At 39.7% G+C, this 23053-nt stretch overlaps 2 protein-coding genes across 12 annotated transcripts, besides 8 other annotated features; one reads left to right on the top strand and one right to left on the bottom strand.

The window, feature by feature from the left end:
* Positions 671 to 1661: an enhancer, noted in NCBI's record as "NANOG-H3K27ac-H3K4me1 hESC enhancer chr1:24307035-24308025 (GRCh37/hg19 assembly coordinates)". NCBI's record gives its function as "activates a minimal SCP1, AML or CMV promoter by ChIP-STARR-seq in primed H9 embryonic stem cells {active_cell/tissue: H9 hESC(primed)}" and the evidence as "EXISTENCE:reporter gene assay evidence [ECO:0000049][PMID:30033119]".
* Positions 1555 to 1604: an enhancer, noted in NCBI's record as "active region_389". NCBI's record gives its function as "activates an Ori minimal core promoter by ATAC-STARR-seq in GM12878 lymphoblastoid cells {active_cell/tissue: GM12878}" and the evidence as "EXISTENCE:reporter gene assay evidence [ECO:0000049][PMID:35858748]".
* Positions 1615 to 1944: an enhancer, noted in NCBI's record as "active region_388". NCBI's record gives its function as "activates an Ori minimal core promoter by ATAC-STARR-seq in GM12878 lymphoblastoid cells {active_cell/tissue: GM12878}" and the evidence as "EXISTENCE:reporter gene assay evidence [ECO:0000049][PMID:35858748]".
* Positions 1615 to 2652: a biological region, named in NCBI's record as "NANOG-H3K27ac-H3K4me1 hESC enhancer GRCh37_chr1:24306044-24307034".
* Positions 1662 to 2652: an enhancer, noted in NCBI's record as "NANOG-H3K27ac-H3K4me1 hESC enhancer chr1:24306044-24307034 (GRCh37/hg19 assembly coordinates)". NCBI's record gives its function as "activates a minimal SCP1, AML or CMV promoter by ChIP-STARR-seq in primed H9 embryonic stem cells {active_cell/tissue: H9 hESC(primed)}" and the evidence as "EXISTENCE:reporter gene assay evidence [ECO:0000049][PMID:30033119]".
* Positions 1879 to 17859, top strand: SRSF10 (serine and arginine rich splicing factor 10). 10 transcript variants are annotated; one of them, NR_034035.3, is made up of 7 exons: positions 1879 to 2015; positions 3389 to 3553; positions 3933 to 4295; positions 7155 to 7232; positions 10194 to 10356; positions 10580 to 10633; positions 14483 to 17859. NR_034035.3 is itself a non-coding variant. In NM_001300937.2 (7 exons), exons 1-7 carry the CDS (start codon positions 1951 to 1953, stop codon positions 14541 to 14543), a joined length of 654 nt encoding a protein of 217 aa, NP_001287866.1. In that variant the 5' UTR covers positions 1879 to 1950; the 3' UTR covers positions 14544 to 17859. The 10 variants fall into 10 exon arrangements, 9 of the variants coding, with proteins under 9 accessions (NP_001287866.1, NP_001177936.1, NP_001287865.1 ...); NM_001300937.2 differs by lacking the exon at positions 3933 to 4295 and adding an exon at positions 10767 to 10868 and having other exon boundaries at positions 3389 to 3493; positions 7129 to 7232; NM_001191007.3 differs by lacking the exon at positions 3933 to 4295 and having other exon boundaries at positions 3389 to 3493; positions 7129 to 7232; positions 10583 to 10633.
* Positions 2375 to 2424: an enhancer, noted in NCBI's record as "active region_387". NCBI's record gives its function as "activates an Ori minimal core promoter by ATAC-STARR-seq in GM12878 lymphoblastoid cells {active_cell/tissue: GM12878}" and the evidence as "EXISTENCE:reporter gene assay evidence [ECO:0000049][PMID:35858748]".
* An 884-nt stretch (positions 17860 to 18743) lies between the features above and the next one.
* On the bottom strand, positions 18744 to 23042 carry PNRC2 (proline rich nuclear receptor coactivator 2). 2 transcript variants are annotated; one of them, XM_017001691.1, is made up of 3 exons: positions 22950 to 23042; positions 21072 to 21277; positions 18744 to 20766 (listed from the first exon to the last, which is right to left on the bottom strand). In XM_017001691.1, the coding sequence occupies exon 3, from the start codon at positions 20746 to 20748 to the stop codon at positions 20329 to 20331; it is 420 nt and encodes a 139-aa protein (XP_016857180.1). In that variant the 5' UTR covers positions 20749 to 20766; positions 21072 to 21277; positions 22950 to 23042; the 3' UTR covers positions 18744 to 20328. The 2 variants fall into 2 exon arrangements, with proteins under 2 accessions (XP_016857180.1, NP_060231.1); NM_017761.4 differs by lacking the exon at positions 22950 to 23042 and adding an exon at positions 22208 to 22378.
* Positions 22112 to 22381: an enhancer, noted in NCBI's record as "active region_386". NCBI's record gives its function as "activates an Ori minimal core promoter by ATAC-STARR-seq in GM12878 lymphoblastoid cells {active_cell/tissue: GM12878}" and the evidence as "EXISTENCE:reporter gene assay evidence [ECO:0000049][PMID:35858748]".
* Positions 22582 to 22691: a silencer, noted in NCBI's record as "silent region_430". NCBI's record gives its function as "represses an Ori minimal core promoter by ATAC-STARR-seq in GM12878 lymphoblastoid cells {active_cell/tissue: GM12878}" and the evidence as "EXISTENCE:reporter gene assay evidence [ECO:0000049][PMID:35858748]".

Here is a 23053-nt window from a genome sequence, read left to right as displayed (position 1 = left end):
ACATCTCAAAAAATAAAATAAAATAAAAATAAGTAAAAATCAAAAACAAGAAAAAACCTATCACATTACTGTTTCTTTCATATAACAAACCTGCATTTACTTTATTTTCTCATTGCCATCGCCCTAGAAATATAAGCTGTATGTTTTTCATTACTGAATTTCAAGCTTCTAGCACAATGTCTGACACATAACAGGGAATCAAACTTTTTTTTGTTTTGTTTTGTTTTTCACATCACCCTCCCAAAATGCTGGGATTTTGGGGCCACCTTGCCTGGCCCAACATTTTAATAAATTAAGCATGCAAATCTTGGGAAACAAAAATTTAGAATAGCTCTGCTACAGAGTGCTACAAACTATCATCACCTGTATCGAATCACTTAATTGTCTTAGATGCTGATTGACACAAAAATAATGCCTTTATGACTTTTTATTAAATAAAAGTTCATTTAATTTAACAGTACTTGAGTCCCTGCTACCTGCTTGGCACTGTGCCACACGCTGGAGGCATTCCAACTGAAGTCTCTCATCTCCAGAAGTTGACTCTTATCGAGCAGGAAATGGCTCTCAAAAGGGCCTCCAAAATCAAAACCATACTAAAGATTATTTGCTATTTTCATGCTCATTCTCTTACAAACGTGGAGTTTTCCAGAGGGTACATGATGTGTGATAAAGGGTAGTGGAGTGTGTCAAAGTTTTCTCTATTTTTTTTTTTTTTCTTTTTTGAGACGGAGTCTCACCCTGTCGCCCAGGCTGGAATGCAGTGGTGCAATCTCGGCTCACTGCAACCTCTGCCTCCCGAGTTCAAGCGATTCTTCTGCCCCAGCCTCCCAAGTAGCTGGGATTACAGGCGCGCGCCACTACGCCTGGCTAATTTTTGTATTTTTAGTAGAGATGGGGTTTCACTGTGTTGGTCAGGCTGGTCTCAAACTCTTGACCTCGTGATCTGCCCGCCTCGGCCTCCCAAAGTACAGGGAGGGATTACAGGCGTGAGCCACCGAGCCCAGCCGAAGTTTCCTCTATTTTAAGTTCTCATTAACTATTTATTAATAGGTATAACCCACACTTTTTTTAAAAAAAGCTCTTTGGAATCTTCCGTAATACACAAGAATATAAAGGCGTTCTGAGACCAAAAAGTTTGAGAACTGCTGCAATACAGGTCCGATGCATACCCAGGAAGCCGTCAGCAACAAAGAATACACTACAAATGACCACAGTCATGAACCTACAGTGTGAGGTTTGGTCCCACCCAGGTTGGGAGCCAAATGCGTGACTAAGTGGAGATGGCTAGGGTGTGGGTGAGGGGCAAAGGCAGGCTGAAAACACTGGAGAGACAGGCCCAGCTCTGCGCAAGGGCACACACCTCCTTCCTTTACACACTCAATACAAGCTGTAAATCCTTCTTTCGCAGGTCAGGGCATAACCTGGACCAAACGGGAAATTTAAGGCAAAATAAAAGCAGGACATTAACTTGGACCAACCGGGAAATTTAAGGCAGCCTCTCTGAACTAAATAGTTTAAAAATCTGTCCATTTAGTAGTAACCGCAAAGTTTGGCCTAGAGACTAAAACATCTGCTTCCTGATTTGGGGGTGGAGATGAAGTGGAGTGTAAGGTAGAAAACGGCGGGAAATGAAGACCTAAAGAAAGAAAGAACAGGCTTGGGGGAGGGTAAGAGGCACCGCAAGAAGCCAACGAATGACACCGACGCTGAGGCGCGTGCGCCAGCCCTCCGCATGCGCAGGCGGACGCCTGGTGTTCTCGCGGGAAAGAACCGTTGCGCCCGACTTTGCGCGGAGGTAGGAGGGGGAAGTGGAGGCGGGAGTGAAGTCTCGCGAGAAGAGTCGGTTGCCGTAGCAGAGCCCTCTAGCTGTGTGTGTCTGAGGCTCGGCCGCCTGAGCCGCGGACGGTTTGCTGAGCCCGTTAGTGCGCCCGGCCGAGACACGCCGCCGCCATGTCCCGCTACCTGCGTCCCCCCAACACGTCTCTGTTCGTCAGGAACGTGGCCGACGACACCAGGTAGGTACAAGGCAGGTACTCCGGGCCTAGGCGGGGAGGCCGCAGGCGCCTGGAGAGGACCCTGGTGGTGGCGGCACTGGGCCGGGGGAGGGGACGGAGTGAAGATGGCGGGTCCCGCGCCCGCTTTGGCGCCGAACTAGGCCGCGCAGCGGGCCTCAGCCGCCGCGTGGGAGCGAGGGCGGCGCCTCTGCCTTCGCCGGGCCGCGTGGCGGGGTTTTTCGGTCCCCCTCCCCCTCCGCAGTTTGCAGCCCCTTTCTCCCTGCTTCCTGCCGGCGCGAGCAGCCCCCCGCCGCGGCCTTTCCGCGACCCGACGGCCGCCCCCCATTGATTTGAAGTTCACATTCTTCGAGGTTCACGCCCCCTTGGCCCAGAGATTTTTTTTTTTCCCCAGCCAAAAAATAGTGAGATGAAATAACGGGATCGAGGGAGAGGAATGTTGCTACCATTTATCTTTGTTGTTGTTGCCGTTGTTAATATTTGGGGGTTTTAATCAGTTGGAGGTGTTTGGAGAAAGGGAGCGTTGAGATTTGGGGAGTTAGATTTTTCCAGTTAAATGTTGCGAGTAGTTTTTCTTATTTCCTGGAAATTCTGGTCACCCTTTGAAAAGGGAGGTTTGGGAAGCGTCAGTCATTAGGACGTTGACAGCTAAGTTAGATTAATTCAGACGTACCTTAAATAGGCTTTGTTCTCACCATTCCCTTGTTTCGAGTTGCCTTCAGATTATTTTGGAAGAGTTCTTACTACAAGATGAGGCTTTTTATTTCACAAATAATGAATCTACACACAGAAAATAAGTGGTTTGGGTTTTTGGTGTTTCGTGGGGGTTTTTTGCTAGCTTTGTGATTTGCTTTTGTCTTAAATTTAAGAAGGAAAGAAAGCAATAATTCTTTCCATAAATAATTCTTTCCATAATTTCTAATAGTTACGTTAGCATCTAGAGAAATTTTCTCTTTACGTCATCTTGACACTTAACTATTTAAGAAGTTCGATATTTGTGACTTTTTCAGACCATATTTATCTACTGTTAAGTGTGTAAATCTGTCGCTAAAATTGGGGAGTAAAAATAAGTGCTTGGTATTTTTCAGAGTGCTAGAGTCGATTTGATGCTGTAAAAGTAAAAAAAAAAAAAAAAACAAGGCTTATATACAACCTAATGCTGCTGTACCTTTTATGAAAAATGACGGCTGTAGATAAAAATAAGTTGTGGTCATTCCCTTGTACCATACATATGTCTGCTGTTGTCCTGTTAATGTAAACTGCATTTTTATCTTCCAAATTCTTGGATCCTAGCTTTCCTTCATCAAAAAGATATATTGCCTATACATCTTAAGGACTTGGACATAAAAATTTGAGGTCTTTTTATGATGTTTTAGGTCTGAAGACTTGCGGCGTGAATTTGGTCGTTATGGTCCTATAGTTGATGTGTATGTTCCACTTGATTTCTACACTCGCCGTCCAAGAGGATTTGCTTATGTTCAATATCCTTTCTTCAGATGGCTGATTAGTGAGGGGTGTTGAAGTTTGAAATTCAAGTTTATGTAAGTGGTAACATCTAAAAAGTAGTTCTTTTTGTCCTCTAATAAATGTCTGTCTTCAAATTTTTGAAAATTAATTCTGACTCACACATTGCTCTCGTTATTAAAGTTAATCCAAAAATGGTAAAATATATAAATTCCCATTCATGCTTCTGAAACTCATATCGATGATTATATATGTGATTTAAATTTGAATGCACTCTGGTTGCTACTACCTTTAATGTAAGTCCTTTAAAAGTTAATATGTTCTTGTGCTTAGCAATTAAAATTTGGTATTCTTGTTTGTTAATTTGAATCACTTGATCAAAAACAAATTGTATAACAATGAGGTAAACTTCTTTAATATTGTCCCCTAATTTGCTGTCCTCTGTTGTTACCTCAGAGAATGTAAAGCTGTACAGTTATGGCGACCCCAAAGAGAAAGCATGAAAGAACCTTTAGAGTAGAGTTCAACACTTAAGGCAAGTAGACAAGCCAAAGACCTCTTAAGGATCAGGCTTGAAGAGAAGGGAGAGTTTGGGAAAAGAAAAAATAAAGAAAAGCTGGAAGAAGGACAAGCCTAATGGGAGACAAAGCCTCGCTTTATCTACAAAAGGGGGAAAAGGTTGTTTTTCAAAGTTAAAGATAAAGCCATCTGTCATATTTGGCCAAGCATCTCATGACAAGTCCTTCTGACAAGCACTTAAAGAGTTAAAGGTCAAGATGAAGTTGAATGATGGCCAAGATTAAAGGAGTCATACCTGATGTATCCTACAGAATAACTATTTTTCTTTTTTTTTTTTTTAATGTTTTGTAAGCAGTTAATTTTCAAAATTATTCTGGTTTGGTCTAGTGACAAAACCTGTAACTTGATTTATGTGGGCCTTTGATGTTGTGATTGTGGTCTTGTGTAAATGCACTCTCTCTTATGAAGTTAAAGTGTAACAGGATGTATATTCTTAAGATTAAATTCAGCATATTTTGGTTTTGGACCAGGTGGTCAGATGCCACGGAGTAGCAGGCAGTGCTCTTTGGAGTAGCGTGGGGTTCTGGGGTTAAGCCACAGAGCCCTGCTTAAAGGAGAGACAGGTGCATGCACTGGGGACTACTTAGAAACAGCTCTGGTGGTCTTGTAGGGTCAGAACCACTAGAAATTTTGTTTATATATAGATTTTAAAGTGGTTGCTGGGGACACATATAAACCCTTAACTTCTTTAACTTAGCCCTGTGAAGACTGCTGGCCCTGCGCTGCTTTAGCACAATGATCAGTTGGCCCTGAATGAGTTGCAGAAGGCCTTCTCCCTGGTATAGGTACCTAACTGGGACCTATGGGAGACTGGTCCCTGACCCAGAGTTTCAGGTGACCTTACTTCCGTTCCTTTCAGTGAGATCATCTCCCTGCAACAAGGGTTTGGGTTGTGGACCTCAGACTAGGAAAAGTTCTTCCTGCTTAAATTCAGTGAGCCTCAAACTTTTAAGTTAGTGGAGTCCTAGTGAGACTTAGGGAAAAGCCAAAAACTACTCCTGCAGGGCCAGTGATCAAGGACAGTTGTGAGAATTGGTTGCAAAGCTCCATTACAGAGAAAATAATAGCTATATCTGGCTTAGTAAATAAAGGTAGCAGTGCGTTCTGGCTTACAACATAGACCTCATTTTACCTAGTGTTGGGTGGCCGAGGAATCAAGGTCAGTAGTAGTTTGATTCAAGAGTGTGTGATATTTGAGGCAAAAAAGGCTAGTAATTCAAAGCAATCTAAAGGAGAATGATAATTTTAAAATACATATTCAGTAAGTCTATGGTTTTAAAATAGTTGAAAAGAAATAAGTAACAGGCTTATGAATTTCATTTTTGAAAAGACCATAAAGTACAAATTTCTCCATGACTGACATCAGAGTGATACTCGGCTGCCTCTGCTGCTGCTGTCTCTTCTGTCTGACTCCATTCGCAATAGCCTTTTCTTCCTATCCCTGGCTTACCGAGTAAAGTAGAAACTTGCCATCAGCCCAGGATTCTGTTTTCGAGGGTAGCCCCAGAGAGGATGCTCTGTTCTCATTAATAATTTTTACAGCTCTCAATATAAATCCTTTTTATACTTATTATATTCTGTCTCTTGGGGTAACAAAGTAGTGTACCCATTAAGTGAACGTATTCCTTCTAATTAGTTTAGAGCCCAGCTGCATTAACCTTGAGGGATGTTCAGTTACAGTATTCAAGGTTCTGAACTCCCCATCAGCCTTTCCCTTTTCATGTTGAAAGCCCAGTTATTTAGAATTTGTCCTTCCATTTAATCTGTTCATAATGGCCTCGGGAAGACAGAGCTGGAAACCTGCAGTCCTTAATTCCTTTCAGAACAAAAAGTGGGAAGTCTAGTAAGGCAGACCTTTTAGTCTCTATAATAAAAAAATACCAGTATCGGTCTCAAAAAAGGAGTGTGTCACTTCAGGGATATTTTAAATCACCTCTCTAAATCTGCAGTCTTGTGTTGTCTCTCAAATTTAGGAAAAAGAAATGTGCAAACTAGAATGGGGATTTTTGGGATAGAATGAAAACCTATACCTGTACCTAACCTAGCTCTCTTTCCAAACCATTTATATCAAACACTGTCTTGAATGTGTACTTGGCCTCTGTTAAAATGATGGTTTTAGGAAAGGAGCTAGGTTTGGACAGAATAGCTATATAAAGCCAGCAGTTCTCGTAGTATTATTGCTGACATGACCAGGGAGGACAAGCAGCTTAGCTTCTCAGATCAAAAACAAGTACCAGTAGTTCCTGCTTAAGGCTGGTAAATAATATCTTGAAATTCTCAAGTTGGAAACCAGTCTCAAACCCATTTCTTTGCAAGAAGTTGTATATTTAGGGTCATGGTTAGGGCTTTCCAGTCTAGGAGTCCTTCCAGTGGTCTGTTTCTTGATAGCATGCTTTTACAGTCTGCATGGATGTAATAACGCTTTTGGTATAGTGATTGTCTTGAGTACTGCTTGACTCTGGTCTTGATGCCCACAAATGGCTAGCGTGCTTGTCTTCCCATGCAGTGGAAGGAAGACAGTTAAATGAAATAGTAGTATTAGATATATATGAAAAAGAAAACAGCAAAATAAATTTGAAGTTAATGCTTTCCTCTCTTGTAAGGTAAGGCATATACTGCTTGCTTACACAAGAACTATTGGCATTTTCTTTTTTTCGTTTGAAACAAATATGAAAAATAGTATTTTGGTTTTAAGAAATTTTTATTTTAGCATACAACATATAACTGACATTTGTTTTTTCTTTTTTGTCTTGTAAACTTAATTCTTAAAACTTAGGAAAATTTTTGGATAGGACAACTTGGTGATTCAGCTATAACAGATCTTATTTCAATAATAACTTTACTGCAATATGTATTCATACATTTTCAAATGTGTGCCTTAGGAAATCACAAGTGCTTTTATAGTGTGAAGTGTTAATGACTGAATCCAACTGAATCACCAACTAGTAAGTGGGGGTCTGGTTGATGTTCTGGAATAATATTGGGAGATTGTGAATTGTTCCAGACATACCAACTGAACTTTCATTCATTATCAAAGTTTGCAAAACTTCCCAAGCCCCTTAACATTTAGCACATTTGAGGATGTTCGTGATGCTGAAGACGCTTTACATAATTTGGACAGAAAGTGGATTTGTGGACGGCAGATTGAAATACAGTTTGCCCAGGGGGATCGAAAGAGTAAGTACCCTTATGCCTGATATGTATGAAACATTATTTTTTAGTGTTTTGAGATTTTTTTTTAAGAATTTAAGCAATTTGTGTTTCTGTTCAAAACCCAAAGGGATCTTTTTTTTCTTTCTTTCTTTCTTTTTTTTTTTTGAGACGGAGTCTCACTCTGTTGCCCAGGCTGGAATGTGTGCAGTGGTGTGATCTTGGCTCACTGCAACCACCACCTCCCGGGTTCAAATGATTCTTATGCCTCAACCTTCCGAGTAGCTGGGATTACAGGTGCATGCCACCACATCTGGCTGATTTTTGTATTTTTAGTAGAGACGGAGTTTCACCATGTTGGCCAGGCCGGTCTCGAACTCCCCACCTCAGGTGATCCACCTGCCTCAGCCTCTCAAAGTGCTGGGATTGGGATTACAGGCGTGAGCTACTGTGCCTGGCCCAAAATGATCATATTTAAGAAAATGGAGTATCTTGAATATTTCATCATGTGTTCCAGATTGTAAGTTTTGGGGTAAGTGTAAGTAGGAGGTGGAGATGAGAATGCCTGAAATATATGTGGACTCTTTTGAAAGTTGGTTATGCAGGCTTACCAGATGTTCGCTGCGTACTTACAAGGCAGGAATACAGGTTTTAGAGTCAAAAAGACCTGTGTGTGAATTCTGGCTTAGCCATTATGTTACCTTGGGCAAGATACTAATTAAGAGATTAAAATAACCGCAGGGTGCAGTGGCTCACACCTGTAATCCCAGCACTTTGGGAGGCCGAGGTGGGTGGATCACAAGGTCATGGTAAAACCCCGTCTATACTAAAAATAGAAAAAATTAGCCAGGCATGGTGGCCTGCACCTGTAGTCCCAGCTGCTGGGGAGGCTGAGGCAGGAGAATTGCTTGAACCCGGCAGGCAGAGGTTGCAGTGAGCCGAGATCATGCCACTGCACTCCAGACTGGGCAACAGAGCAAGACTGTGCCTCAAAAAAAAAAAAAAAAATAGCTGCTGAGGAGAGGAGGAGCTCTTGAGTACTCAATGCAAACTATTGGAACTCTAGTTCTTGAGTTGGGTAATAGATTCCTGGTTATGCATTGTGTTTTTTATATGTACTCCAATACATAAAGTATCTGCTTCATTGAATTGAATGAGATAAGAATTGAAGTGTACATAAGGCATTTAGGAATGCCTTATTATTCTACTTAGGGTCTTAGAACTGTAATATTACTGCATGTTGACACTGCACATTGTTCATAGGCCACCTATAAATATTTTGTTAATTGTGTTCTTAATGAATGGAATCTGTGGTGGGATCATTCCAAATCAGCATATGGTTCAGTGGTCATTTTTTTCAGCCATTTGAAAATGTAAAATATGTGGGTGTGGTAGCTCACGCCTGTAATCCCACCACTTTGGGAGGCCTAGGCGGGAGAATTGCCTGAGCCCAGGAGTTTGAGACCAGCCTGGGCAACAAAGTGAGACCCCATCTCCACAAAAAATAAAATAAAAAATTAGCCAGGCTTGATAGTGCACACCTGTGGTCCCCGCTAGGCAGGAGGATCACTTGGGCCCAGGAGGTTGAAGTTGCAGAGAGCTGTGTTTGCACAAGTGCACTCCAGCCTGGGTAGCAGCAAGACCCAATCTCAAAACAAAAAGGCACTCACTTCCATTTGGAGTTTTTAAAAATCCTTTTATGGTATGGATTCCCAGTGTCAGAACAGTTACCAGGTCTTGGCTGATAAACTAGATGGTGAGAAGACTTTGAAAATAGTTGGGGATATTAGTATTATTTTTAACATAAAACAGTCTTCTAATACACTTTCTTGAAAATAAATACGTGCCTTTTTCAAGATGAAAATTTGCAGTTACCTCAACCCAGCCTTGGCTAAATCACGTTCTGCATCTGCATCTCACACCAAAACTACAGACACCTCTAAAACAGACTCCAGGGCTGGGCACGGTGGCTCAAGCCTGTAATCCCAGCACTTTGGGAGGTCAAGGCGGGCAGGGGCAGATCACCTGAGGTCAGGAGTTCAAGTCCAGCCTGACCAACATGGAGAAACCCTGTCTGCACTAAAAATACGAAACTAGCCTGGTGTGGTGGCGCATGCTGTAATCCCAGCTACTTGGGAGGCTGAGGCAGGAGAATCGCATGAACTCAGGAGACGGAGGTTGTGGTGAGCCGAGATTGCGCCATCGCACTCCGGCCTGGGCAACAAGAGCAAAACTCCGTCTCAAAAAAAAAAGACTCCAGGCTGGGTGCGGTGGCTCACACCTGTAATCCTAGCACTTCGGGAGGCCGAGGCGGGTGGATTATTTGAGGTCAGGAATTCGAGACCAGCCTGGCCAATATGGTGAAACCCTGTCTCTACTAAAATACAAAAATTAGCCGGGTGTGGTGGCGCGTGCCTGTAATCTCAGCTCCTCAGGAGGCTGAGGCAGGAGAATGGCTTCAACTGGTGTGGGGTGGAGGTTGCAGTGAGTTGAGATTGCGCCACTGCATTCCAGCCTGGGTAACAGAGCAAGACCCTGGTCTCAAAAATTAAAATAATTAAAAAAAAAAGACACCAAAACACATACACACTTTTTTTTTTTGGAGACAGGGTCTCTGACCCCCAGGCTGGCGTGCGGTGGTGTGATCACAATTTACTGCAGCCACCAACTCATGAGCTCAAGTGATTTCCCCCCTTAGCCTCCTGGGTAGCTGGAATACATGTGCAAGCCACTAGGCCCAGCTAATTATTTTTTGTAGAAATGGCATATTGCTATGTTGCCCCAGGCTGGTCTCAAACTCCTGGGCTCAAGTGATCCTCCCACCTCAACCTCCCAAAGTAGTGGGATCACAGGTGTGAGCCACCACCCGGGTCATACATACTCTCTTTGGGATATAAGAGGGGATGCAGGGATTTTTTTCCCTATTTATTGAGGGCTTTAATACTGTTTTTAATATTTTTAAATATTTCTGTTCTTTGTATTTCCTAGCACCAAATCAGATGAAAGCCAAGGAAGGGAGGAATGTGTACAGTTCTTCACGCTATGATGATTATGACAGATACAGACGTTCTAGAAGCCGAAGTTATGAAAGGAGGAGATCAAGAAGTCGGTCTTTTGATTACAACTATAGAAGATCGTATAGTCCTAGAAAGTAAGTGTGCTGTGTAGCACAGTGATCTGTTTAAAAAATGTATTTGTTAGCATTTAATTTTTTTTTACTATTTTGTATACTTTTAATTATATACATTGAATGTTTCATTGAGACAAAAAATACTGTAGCATTTTATTTTAAAAGTTTTATGGTTTGCTTTTAATTAGAAACTTTGCCTCTATGAATAGATATTTGTCACTGCTTTTTCTGATATGCTTTTTAGCAGTAGACCGACTGGAAGACCACGGCGTAGCAGAAGCCATTCCGACAATGATAGGTAAATAACTTTGCTTTGAAAAAGACTCATGTATTTTTTAATTTCAGAGTGAACTTTTGCTCTAAAAATAACAAATTTGATTAATATAGAATCTAATTTTTACTCTAATTATATCTCTCCTCTGTTTTGAAAGATTCAAACACCGAAATCGATCTTTTTCAAGATCTAAATCCAATTCAAGATCACGGTCCAAGTCCCAGCCCAAGAAAGAAATGAAGGCTAAATCACGTTCTAGGTCTGCATCTCACACCAAAACTAGAGGCACCTCTAAAACAGATTCCAAAACACATTATAAGTCTGGCTCAAGATATGAAAAGGAATCAAGGAAAAAAGAACCACCTAGATCCAAATCTCAGTCAAGATCACAGTCTAGGTCTAGGTCAAAATCTAGATCAAGGTCTTGGACTAGTCCTAAGTCCAGTGGCCACTGATAGTATAAACCATGGTCATTTTTAGGCATGTATCATTCATTTACTCATAGTTTGGTTTACTTAAATTATCAGGAATACAATGTTGCAATGATGCTTAAAAAACACTTGTTAGTTTTCCCTGTACCAGGCAATGGTTATAATTAAAATGATATGCTGTTGAGAAGCCACTCTTAAGAGTCCAGTTTGTTTAATGTTATGGGCAGCTACCAATTTGTGGTGTCTCTGTATATTTTTGTAAAGATTCTCATTTTTTATGCTTGAAGTATTTGGTGAAAAGATGTTGGTTGACCATAATTTGCAACATTGTCTCATTAAAAATAAACTTTCATATTCATATTTGGTAGAACTGTTAACCTAGAAATGTAGCTTGCTAATAAGATAGAATGATACAAAAGTGAAGTAGTAGCCACAGTACAACACTGACTGCTCAGACACATTTAGGTTCAGGGTGGACCTTTATGTCTTGTCAAGATGTCTAGGCCCGGCTGGGCGTGGTGGCTCACACCTGTAATCCCAGCACTTTGGGAGGCCGAGGCGGGCGGATCACGAGGTCAGGAGTTCGAGACCAGCCTGACCAACACGGTGAAACCCCGTCTCTACTAAAAATACAAAAATTATCCGGGCATGGTGGCACATGCCTGTAATCTCAGCTACTCAGGAGGCTGAGGCAAGAGAATCGCTTGAACCTGGGAGGTAGAAGTTGCAGTGAGCCAAAATCACGCCACTGCACTCCAGCCTGGGCAACAGAGTGAGACTCCGTCTCAAAAAAAAAAAAAAACCGGATGTCTAGGCCAATGATAATTATTTTTGATGCAGTGTGGATTAGTTCTTTTGTTAACCCCACTGTCTTGGGGAATGATGCCAGCTGGGAAATTGAGTTTTTGACTGAAACATGGAGCCTTCACTGCTTTTTTTCTGGTTCCTATGAAGATTTGGAACATAGAAAACACAAAAACTCACCTTAAAATTTGAGCAGGTCGTTGATGGCAAAAATAATTTTAAGGAAAAAGGAATATTCTTATGTAGTTATTCTAAAGTTTAAGGAGCGTTGTTGACCATAATATTGCTTAGTTTTCTTACTGCTGTTAAGTAAGTAAATTGTTTCAAAGTAGGTTTTGTGTGTGTGTGCCTAGTGTAAAAGAACTGAAATTTTGATGCTTACAGCACTTGGCTCGTGCATTTGTATCAAAATTTGCCTGCCTCTTTATGAGGGAGGCCTGCTTTTCACACCTCAGTTTATTTAATACGAGGCAAGTTGTAAGACAACACTCATTCTAGGTGATTCTGTGGTGCCATGAAATTTAAGGTAATTTGGGGAAAAGGATTAGTCAGTTTTAAGCAAGAGTCACATCTTTTGAGCTTTCGATTATCAGTGTAGTACCTGACTAAAAATGAAGTAATACCCTTAAACCATTTATAATTTCTAGTATTTCTCTGAAAGATCGTTTTGGGGACAAAAGTGACTTGACATGTCCAATTTCATTTCAGAATAAAAAGCTAGCATCTTTAAAAATCTCAGATTGCTTGCTTACAGATACAAGTACGAATTATGGACAAACGATTCCTTTTAGAGGATTACTTTTTTCAATTTCGGTTTTAGTAATCTAGGCTTTGCCTGTAAAGAATACAACGATGGATTTTAAATACTGTTTGTGGAATGTGTTTAAAGGATTGATTCTAGAACCTTTGTATATTTGATAGTATTTCTAACTTTCATTTCTTTACTGTTTGCAGTTAATGTTCATGTTCTGCTATGCAATCGTTTATATGCACGTTTCTTTAATTTTTTTAGATTTTCCTGGATGTATAGTTTAAACAACAAAAAGTCTATTTAAAACTGTAGCAGTAGTTTACAGTTCTAGCAAAGAGGAAAGTTGTGGGGTTAAACTTTGTATTTTCTTTCTTATAGAGGCTTCTAAAAAGGTATTTTTATATGTTCTTTTTAACAAATATTGTGTACAACCTTTAAAACATCAATGTTTGGATCAAAACAAGACCCAGCTTATTTTCTGCTTGCTGTAAATTAAGCAAACATGCTATAATAAAAACAAAATGAAGGAAATAATGATTAACTGGAATTATTACAGTATTGAATATGATTCTAAAATAACAATGGAAACAGTCCTTTATAGATTTAGGAATATTTTAAATCATTGTTGCACTAGGCACAACTAACTTTTACTTTGGAAATGATAGAACTTGCCAGAAAGGTACATCTTTTACACAGTAGTTAAAAATTCATTGTGTAATATCAAAGTTGTTTCATGATTGCTCATTAAGCCTCTTGGGTTAACTAACTTAAGAGGTTATTTGGTAGTGTTAAGATGAAATTTGGATCAGCTAATTCCAAGTTTATATTTTCATTATTGGATGGATCAGTAATTCTGCTCTCCCTCTTATAAACAAGACGCATTAGGGCTTAACGTTTATGACATGATTTTAAATCATTTTAAATTGAATGTTGATGAGCAACTAATATTAAGTGATAACCTCTTTGGGGAAGTAGGTTAGGTATTTTGTGGTTTGAATTCTATCTACTTTATGACAATTATAGCTAATTTATTAAGTATTCATGATGTGCCAGACACTTGAAAAGGCTATGTGTTAACTCACTCTTCACAAAACCTTATGAGAAAGATACTTTTATTTTCCCCATATCACAGATAAGGAAACTGAGGCACAAAGAAAAGACTGTAAGGCAGAGCCAGGATTTAAGCCCAGGCCTGGTCCCTTAGTTTTGGGGGGGTTTTGTTTGTTTTACAGACTATAATTTGAGAGAAGTAGATTGAGGAGATAGCTCATTGAAATTGTTCATTTTCTGTATAGAACTAGAAGGCCTAATTTCATTTTTATTTTTACTTGTGTCAACTTATTTTTAGACTTGGACTATTGAGAATCTTATATGTTGTTCCTAAAGCGACACACCTAACAGCTTCAAAAGGACTATATTACAGTTGAACCCATGGTAGTTTGGATCCTACTGATACTTGATGAGGATCTTTACGTAGTGTTTTATGTTAGTTTTGGGTGATGTAGTTGAGTCCCCCACTTACTGAGTTTACCTACTGTGTATGACTGGGCTCAATGATAAATAGAATGGTTATATCAACACTCAAATGAGGGCTGACACACTTCACCTCTCCTTTTACTTAAGATCTCTCTGCATTTTTTTTTTTTTTTTGAAGCCAAGTAAGCAAGAAGAAAAATGAGAGATAATGCTTCAGTGAGAGAGGAAAGGTGCTACATAGAGTATGAGCTGTTAAGTTACATCCCAGGGGAAAGACCTGGGAACTATTGTATTATTCTCTTGAAAATTTGGCCCAGTAAGCTGCTACATCCAGTTCAACTAACAAAATCCTGTATACCACAGAGAAGAATAAAGGAAACCAAACTGACAAACATCCTTCTTTTATTTAAGACCAAACTGCAGCTGGAATACCCAGTACAGTTCTGCTTACTACACTTCAAGAAAGATCTGAAAGCGGAAAAAGAACCAAAGAAGGGCAGTTCAAGCGACCAAAGGGTGGGTGGAAGGTGCTGCAGTATGAATACTGTACGAATATTTTGACTCTGGTCTGAAAAGATAAAAGAATGTTATCGAAAACTACATGGAATAATTGAAGTCCCTTCAAGTTTGAAAGTAAGCATTTTAGGACAAATAAAAGGAAATTCAACTTTGTACTTGTGGAAACTAATCCCTAAATATGAATAGGTTTATATTGATTCATGGGTAACAGGTCCATAATAAATTATTGGAAACTAGGATGTCTGAATATCAAGGAAGACAGCCATAGTCTCTTACAGTGCCTCTGTTGGTCTGTCTCAAACTGAATTGGGTGGGAAAAGGTATGGTCCAATATAAAAGTTCCATTTTTGCCATTATTGGCAAATCTTGCCTTTGTTTATTTTGGTGCCAGTGTTTTCTGCTTAATCATTTGCTTTGTTGGCATCTGTGTTTATTTACTTGTACACCACATGCAGTTTACATCTGTCTTAACTACTCCTTCCCAGGTAAATTCCAATTATATTTGACATCCAGCTAAGAGGGCCCATCTCTTCTCACCTCTTTCCTAGTCAGTATATTCAGCAAATATTTATTGAGCCCTTACTGTGGGCAAATCATTGTACTGGATAATTGAGAAAAATAGATAATTCCCTTATTCAGTAAATGTCTACTGAGCACAATCTAGTGAATCATTACAGTATGGCCTCATTGTTTTGTTTGAGGTGTGTTATTCATAACAATATTTTACACCATTCGTATCAATGTAATTATAGAACACAATATACGATCAAGGATAAGTAATTGTGTGGTTATCTGCCATTTAAAAGTATCCAGTATTTGATCACATTATTATAAATAATGAAAAAATGATTTAATCTGTAATAAACTGGTTTATTGTGCAGTGACTGTAATATACTAGAGTTATAATAAATTGTTTACTCTGCCTCACCAAACACATGCTAGGATATAACCCCCAAAATAAGTATTTAACTTTGCATTAGGTATAAAGGAGACTGGGTGCTATAATTAGATTATTTTGAGGCAGACAGAGAGCTGTTATCCTAACTGATTTAGTATGTTCTGTAATTGAGAAAATGTTCACCAAATTATACTTTTTAGTGATTTACATGTACATTTTATAGGGGACATGTTCTGTGTATAGCGAATAAATAACTTTTATAGTATCACAAAATGTTTTGGATTCCTTAGTTTCTTATTAGGATATGATGTTTCTTTACCTATACATTGATTTCATCACATTTGATTTTTGTCATCTTTTTTGCCACATACTTAAAATTTTCCATATAAAATTAACTAAAAATCTGGAAGTGGAATTTAAGCTTTTAATTTGTAGCAATTTTGAAAATATAGCAGAGGTATATTTTCAAGGGAGGTGTGAAATGGAGGTATTATTGTTTGTATTTTATTTTAGAAATTTTGTTTGAACTTGCCCAAGATCACACAGCAAGTGTCAGATCCTAGGTTACAGCCCATAATTTTTCACTTGTTTCATCTTTTGTTACCATGTTTGTTGTTTAATCCAATGGGGAAGTGTTTTTATAGCTTTATTTTCATGGAGATAGTAACATTGATATAATGGGATCTAGAATTTACTTAGAGTCAAAGTGACTAGATTTAATTACAAAAAGTATTTTGTTGTATACCGTTATACACTCATTAACATAGGGGTTCTTATGGACAGAGGTTCTATGTATTTTTAAAAGAATATGTAGAGGCTATAGACTTTTTTGCCCTCTACCTCCCTTCTCCATTTCCTTTTGAAGTTAAGACATTTAAGGGGGAGAATTAAGGTGCATATTGAGTTGGGGTTTTGTTTAAAAAAAATTAGGTAAATACATATATAACTACAATAACAACAGTTGGTAGTTCTCTAAAATATTTAATTATGGTAAATCAGAAAAGGCCCTTTAATTTTTGCATCTGTTGAATGAATTGCTTTAGGATCTCTTCTGTGGTTGTTTCTCTCTATACTGAATGCTGTCAATATTATTGAGCACTTACTGTGCCGAACCATGTGCTTTTCAAATATTTCTATTTAATCCTAAAAACACTCCTGGGAAATGGGTATTATTCCCATTTTACAGATGAGAAAATTGTCCTTTGTAGAATACCCATCATGTGATAGCTTCTTGCATATTATGCTATTCATTTCTCACAACCTTACAAGGTAAATGGATAATGTTCCTGGATGAGAGATTAAACGTACTCGAAGATCTTATGGTTGTGTGGCTCAGAGACTCTAAGCATGGCTTTCCAAATCTCATTCTCTTGTAGAGATTTTCCATTGTATTGCATTTTGACCATGTTCCTGTTTACAAAACCTAAGATTATATTCTGAAGTATCTGTGACTTGAGTGATAGCTCAGGAATAATCTGAGGGCATTCTATTAGGAAGGAGGACTAGCAAAGCCTATAGTTAGCCTATCCTAGGCATGAACTATTCTCATTTTAGATAGGATGACTTGATAAATAGGATGAAGTGAGCAACCTGTTTGTCTTCGGTTATTGCTATCTACAAGACATTCTGCTAGTCACTGTGGAAAAGTTTCCTTCTCTTGGGTTTTTTCCTCTTCCCCTTCCTCTTAACAGTGTTGGTTATCTTTATTATGTTTCTGTGTATTTGTAACAGCTGTTTCACCCTTGTATTGCATAATGGGGATTTTTCTTGGAATAAAAAGTGAGGCATGTAAATTCATTGAGAACTAACCGTAGTTTGTAAAGAAGTAAAAGGCCTTTGTATCTAGTTTTTTGCAGATCACATTTCTTTGAATGCTGGAAAGTGAAATAAACTGGTCTAGGAGCCAAAAATAAATCTTGGGTTTTTTTAAGATTTTGCTCTTAGATTTGTAACCACCTGGGTACAACTTTTTCCTAATTTGTGTAAGAGGTTTTAGAGATGCACTCTGTCCCTCTTGCTTTACAAATTGCCTACAAGAATGCAACCAAAATACTAGAAACTGAAACTTACACAAAACCTTTCAGGTTTTTTCCTGTGTTGTAGTTCTAGGGAAGAGGATAGTTTATTAGTATTTATTTTAAGCTTAAGGATAGGTTTTGGACCTGGATTCCATCATAGTATAACTGCCATCGAAAAGAAGACAAATTGAAATTACAGCATTTACCTAAGGTTCACAGTATGGCTGACTTCAGCAGCCTTACATGGTAAGTTCTCTGTACCAGCTATTTTTGGTTCTCGCAATTGCATCGACTTGGGAAATTCCTATCACCATTCTCTATATAGGCTAACCAAAACTTTTATCAGTACCTTTCCTAAAGTATGAAGTTAGGTAATCTTCCACTCCCACTTCCATTTACTCATTTTGCTTGAGTCAAACCAAAAATCTAGTGTATTACTAGATTAGTCACTAAAAATCTAGTGTATTCAATATATACACTAGATTCAATATATAGCTTAAAAACTAACAGACACCTAGGCTGAGATTTGTCCAATACATGAAGTTCAATTCTGCAATCCTTGGCATTGTTCACAGAAATTACCCTGGAAACAAAATGAACACCCAAATGCTGGTTCTGCCTTAACTCCAAATTGTTAACTAGTTTGCATGAAAATAATACAGCTTTGCCATGGGACTAGTTGTAGCATTTTAAGGATTACTCAAACTAGTTTTAAGATGCCCTATCATTTGGAATCTGTATCAGAAAGGTGTGGTTGTGATGCTTTTCTTCTGAGGGGTCCCCTTATATACTTTTCATTTGTCAACATACTTAAAACACAAGGGTTCTTGTCAACTTGATAAATTTGCTTATAATTTTTTTTCTATGAACCTAGATCATGGAATTAACTTTCAAAAGCTTTGCGATGTTTTCCATGTGTGGCCTTTTTTTTGCTTTTTAATTAACACTACTGGGAGAGAGAAATCCTAAGTAGTTGCTTAACTGCATAGCTGTCAAATCCTAGTATCTTCTGTATCAGTCAGCAAACTAGTTGCCCCTTTTCAAGCCAACAGTCCTATCACATTTTAGTTGTGACCTTTTTTATATATACGTATATATATATGATCAGAAATGTAGTGGTTCATAGTTCTGGAGTCTGAGAAATCCAAGAGTTTGGAATATTGTGAGTGTATTATGAGCTTCAAGTCAGTGACAAGTAAAACACATTTTTAAAAAGAATATTAAGCAATCAAAACCATTTTTAAAATAAAACCAAGCCAATGGGGAAAAATTTTATTTAATTTTATGCTTCACATTCATATCATGTACATTAAGTACTACATAAACTTGTCTTTAGGCTATCAATATTTAACTTGGGCAGTACTTCATCTTGATTTATTTGGAGAAATACAGCTTAGGCATCTGCTTACCTGCTTAGGCATCAAGAGGTGCCAAATTAGAAAATAGGGCATTAACAATCAAAATTTTTAAGCTGACCCACATACTTGCTACTGGTTTCGCTTATGTTTAAGCATTTAAAGTTGGCAAAACATGTTATCAATGTATTATGCAAGAGTTTACATCTTTTGCATAAGTGGTCCATTGGGTTGCACCTACCCCTTGACCAAACAAAAACAAAACATCACTGGCACCATACTCGAAACTACCTGTATCCTAGGTTATAAGATTGTGAAAGCCAACAATCTATAAGGTTGGAGGGACTCTAGTTAATCTTTGGGCTTAGAGGAGGAAAAAAAGATAGTCCCATACTGCATTTCACATCTCTTAAAAATAGTTTTAGCAGCTTAAACCTTTTTAGTTATAAAACTTATTACACTAGGGTTTACTTTGAAATATAGTTTACAACCAAATCAAGTATAACATACATACACTGGCACTTTAGCACAAGGGCAAACTTTAAAAACAAGTTATTTTGGACCTTTAAAATTAGGCCATATTATAAAAAACAGTCCACGGTCTTACATTCAGCAAATTCATACTAAAATACTCCATTTTTGTAAGATAAAGGCCAAGAAAACTTTACATATGCTACAAGTTTATTACAGATATTTACATGGCTCTTTCTCCCCTAGGTACTTAAAATTTTCACATTATCCAACTCCCCAAAGCAAGCTTTGCAGGAATGATGAGGCCAGAGCACTATTAGAATAGCTTGTGCAGTGCTGTAATACAAAAATGTATTTTGAAAGCTATTGAGTGACCATTAAATACTGTTTCTATAAAAAATGGTTTTGGTGTATTTGTTGACAGACACTTAATCCACTACATTTAATAAACAGGGCCATTGGGGTGTACTATGTCTCATTCTAATGAGCTCCAAATGCCCTTTCCACCCACTGTACAATTCACTAAAATGCAATTATTACGAAAAATTCACATTTTCTTTCAGCAGTGCATCAGGTTAGCATATTACTGGTTTGGGTGTTTCTAATATACTAAACCTTCAGATGTTTACCTAATTCTGAATCCTTGTGTTAGCTAGAAGCTTATAATCCGATTCACCAACTTTCAACAATCTACTGGTCCATGAATGATAAATTACTGTCTTCCCCTAACAATAGAAAAAGCTGATTCCTTTACCACTCCCCAAATCTAAACTTGGTTTCCACTTAAAAGTTACTCAGTTGAGAACACTTAATATCAAGTACAATCATTAGTTTAAGTTGCACTGATACTACCATTATATCACAGTGCACACAACACGAGATGGTCTATTTTTTTTACATTAATTAGTTCTACACAAATAGATTCCCTAGCGAATTTGTTTCAGACCAATTGACAACTATCCGTGAACATAACTAAATTTAAACATTTGTCTTATTTTATACCTGTACTTTAAGTAAGGTTTTAAGTTGAAATGTCATTATTTCCTTATCTGAAGGATTAAAGGAAACAGGGACCCAGTGGCTTGGTGGTTTGGGAAGAACACTTGGTGATGGCGGCTCACTAAATTTGGCACCAGCATAGTTCTGATTAGCTTGAGATTTAAAAAGTAACCTGGGACCTGATAAGCTAGAATTCCAACTTTGATTATTTGGAAAATTTTTGTTCTTCCCCCCATTTTGCATGGCCTGCCAGGCAGCTGCTGATGAGTTATAACCATGTCCTCTTTCTTTTTTCTTATGAACAATCTTCATCTGGGAATTCTGTTCCTTGGTCTTCTGTCTGTTAAGCTGTTGTTGGTTCTTACTAACATTTCTAGATTGAGGGGCTGGAATGTTATACCTCTCTCCACCACCCATCTTCAGCTTCTTTGTCACCTACAAGTGAATGGAAACAAATATTGAGTAAAATTCCATTAAGAAAAGTTCAAAATCTTTAAGAAGCTTCTATGGCTCCAACTTATAACTCCAGATATTTTGGACAAGACTCAATAACAGGCTATTCAGCTGCTTTAAACTCAAAAAAGCAAGCCGTTCAGACTTCAATATATGCACAACCTTTATTGTTATACCTTCCCTAAGAAAAATGAGCTTACCCACAAATCTACATAATCTATTTTAAAATAAAAACAATTGGTTTAGGATGGTTCCATCATAAAATGTTTGCCCATTATGATGATTACCTTTCAGTCTGCTTTTCAGATTGCAGGATCTCCACTACCTGTCCTCTTCCTTGCTGCCAAGCCCAAGATAACAAGTGTTGCTTTCTGACAGATCCCTTCCTTTGTCTCAATACAGAAGTTTTCATGGGCCGATCTGCTGAGTTCAGCCTAGGAGCTGAGGCCAACATCTGAGTCTCCTCAGCACACAAGTTTGAGAGAAGTCCTAGCTAGAAAAGTAAAGATTACTTCATTATTTCAAAAACACGTTGAGAAAGTGATCATTTAGATTTACTACGAAAATCGTTGACTGTAAAGAAGGCTACTTCCTGAACTAAAAGGTAGAAAATTTCTCGTAAGATGGCTTTCTTTGACCTTATAACCACGACCATTTAAAAAAACTCTTCACCCTTGAGATCCAGTCACTCCTGGGGAATTTTTGTAAGTGTCTCCAAGTCCCGCAATAAGTTTTATCTTTATCTTTTTCCTGGGAAAGACCTTCAGATTCTCTCGCGTATAAAATCAAGGAAGTGTTAAATGTTGAGTCATATCAAAAAATTGGCTTCAGGCGGATTTTCTAAAGAGACCGTGTTTTTAAACTCCCACCAGAATTTTCCAATCTTTCCACACATGTCACATCCATTTTCAGTCTCTTGGAACATGTAGACATCACGCAGTGTTTCCTTTGGTTATGAACGCTCTCGCCTCCTCCCCGTCTTAAAATAAGTTCTCACAAGCCCTAACAGTCTAAGCCCATCTTAAATATATAAAAATGTCTCCCTAGAGGGAACAGCTTAACTTTCAAGGTTTGGTTTTAATTTGATGTTCCAAGAAAATAAGTTACCAAATAGTTAAGCCCCCTCCTTTCAAAGGGGTAAGAGAGCTTTCCAAACAGATAAACAACCCTAAATAAATTGCCATTTCCGGACTGTGAGTAATTCCCAACTCGAACCCGGAAAACGCCTCCTCCGACGCCACAAGGGCTTGGCTTCCCAGTGGCCCCATCTCTCCGGAGCCGCAGGGGTCGCGGCGCTGCGACCGCCCGTGACCGCCCGCGCCCGCCCGGGTTACCCGGATCTCGCCTCCGCTCGCCTCCTTCCTCCAACAATGGGGAGCGCGGCCACCAACATGGCCGCGCCCTTAGCGCAGCCGCTACTTACTGACTTCAAGCTCGGAACTAACGCGGCAGCGGCTCCCTCTCGACGTCGAAGCCTCCCTCCCTTTCCAGGGAGAGACGAGGCACGGACCGACAAAGCCCACGAACACCGATGAGCGAGCTGCCGGCCACCCCAGCTTCTACAACCCGACCTTCTCCTTCTGCCTCTACCGACAAAATGGAGTCGGCAGCGACTGCAGAAGCAGGGCCGGGAGGCTCCGCGGCCAATCAAAACACGACAGCGCGGGCCTGGCCAATGAGAAGCGGGCCGCCGCCTGTTGCTGGGGCTGGCCGGGGGCGAAGGCGCGGAGGTGGGGCTGCAGAGGGTTTGAAATCTGCCCGGGGAGGAGGAGCATGCCGGGAGTAACTGCTCGGTCCACCGGTGTCTTAGTCCTTTCTCCGGCGGCCTCTCCGCGCCCCTGGCCCGCCGAGGCCCCGGCCGCTAGCTCTCGGCTCTTCCTACCGCTCGGCTCTCGTGCGCGCGGGCTCGCCGCCCTTGGGACTGCCCTGGGGGAAAAGACTGACCGGCGGGGGACGTTTGGTTCTCGAATTAGGGCCACTGAGTCCTGTAGCCTGTATTGACAGATGGAAGATACTCCGGAAAGCCTCTTGCCAGGGCGCAGCCCCCTCCCGCCTCGGGCCTCGGCTTCTGGGTCGCCTCTCTCCCACACCCACAACTCCGCGTCCGAAGCCGGCGCCTCCCCGCGGTTCCCTCCAGTGCCCCCACCCTCCAGCCCCGCAATTACTCAAAAGTTGCCTCCCTGTGAAGGCGGTTCAGACACACGCGGGCAAGTCAGTCACTTCCTGCTTGGTGGCCCCATTGGTCCTTAAGTTCAATTAGAGCCCTTTA

Source organism: Homo sapiens, chromosome 1, assembly GCF_000001405.40.
Source record: "Homo sapiens chromosome 1, GRCh38.p14 Primary Assembly".
Classification (NCBI taxonomy): Eukaryota; Metazoa; Chordata; class Mammalia; order Primates; family Hominidae; genus Homo; species Homo sapiens.
The sequence above is the reverse complement of the archived record's forward strand: the minus strand, read 5'-3'. Positions and strand labels throughout refer to the sequence as shown.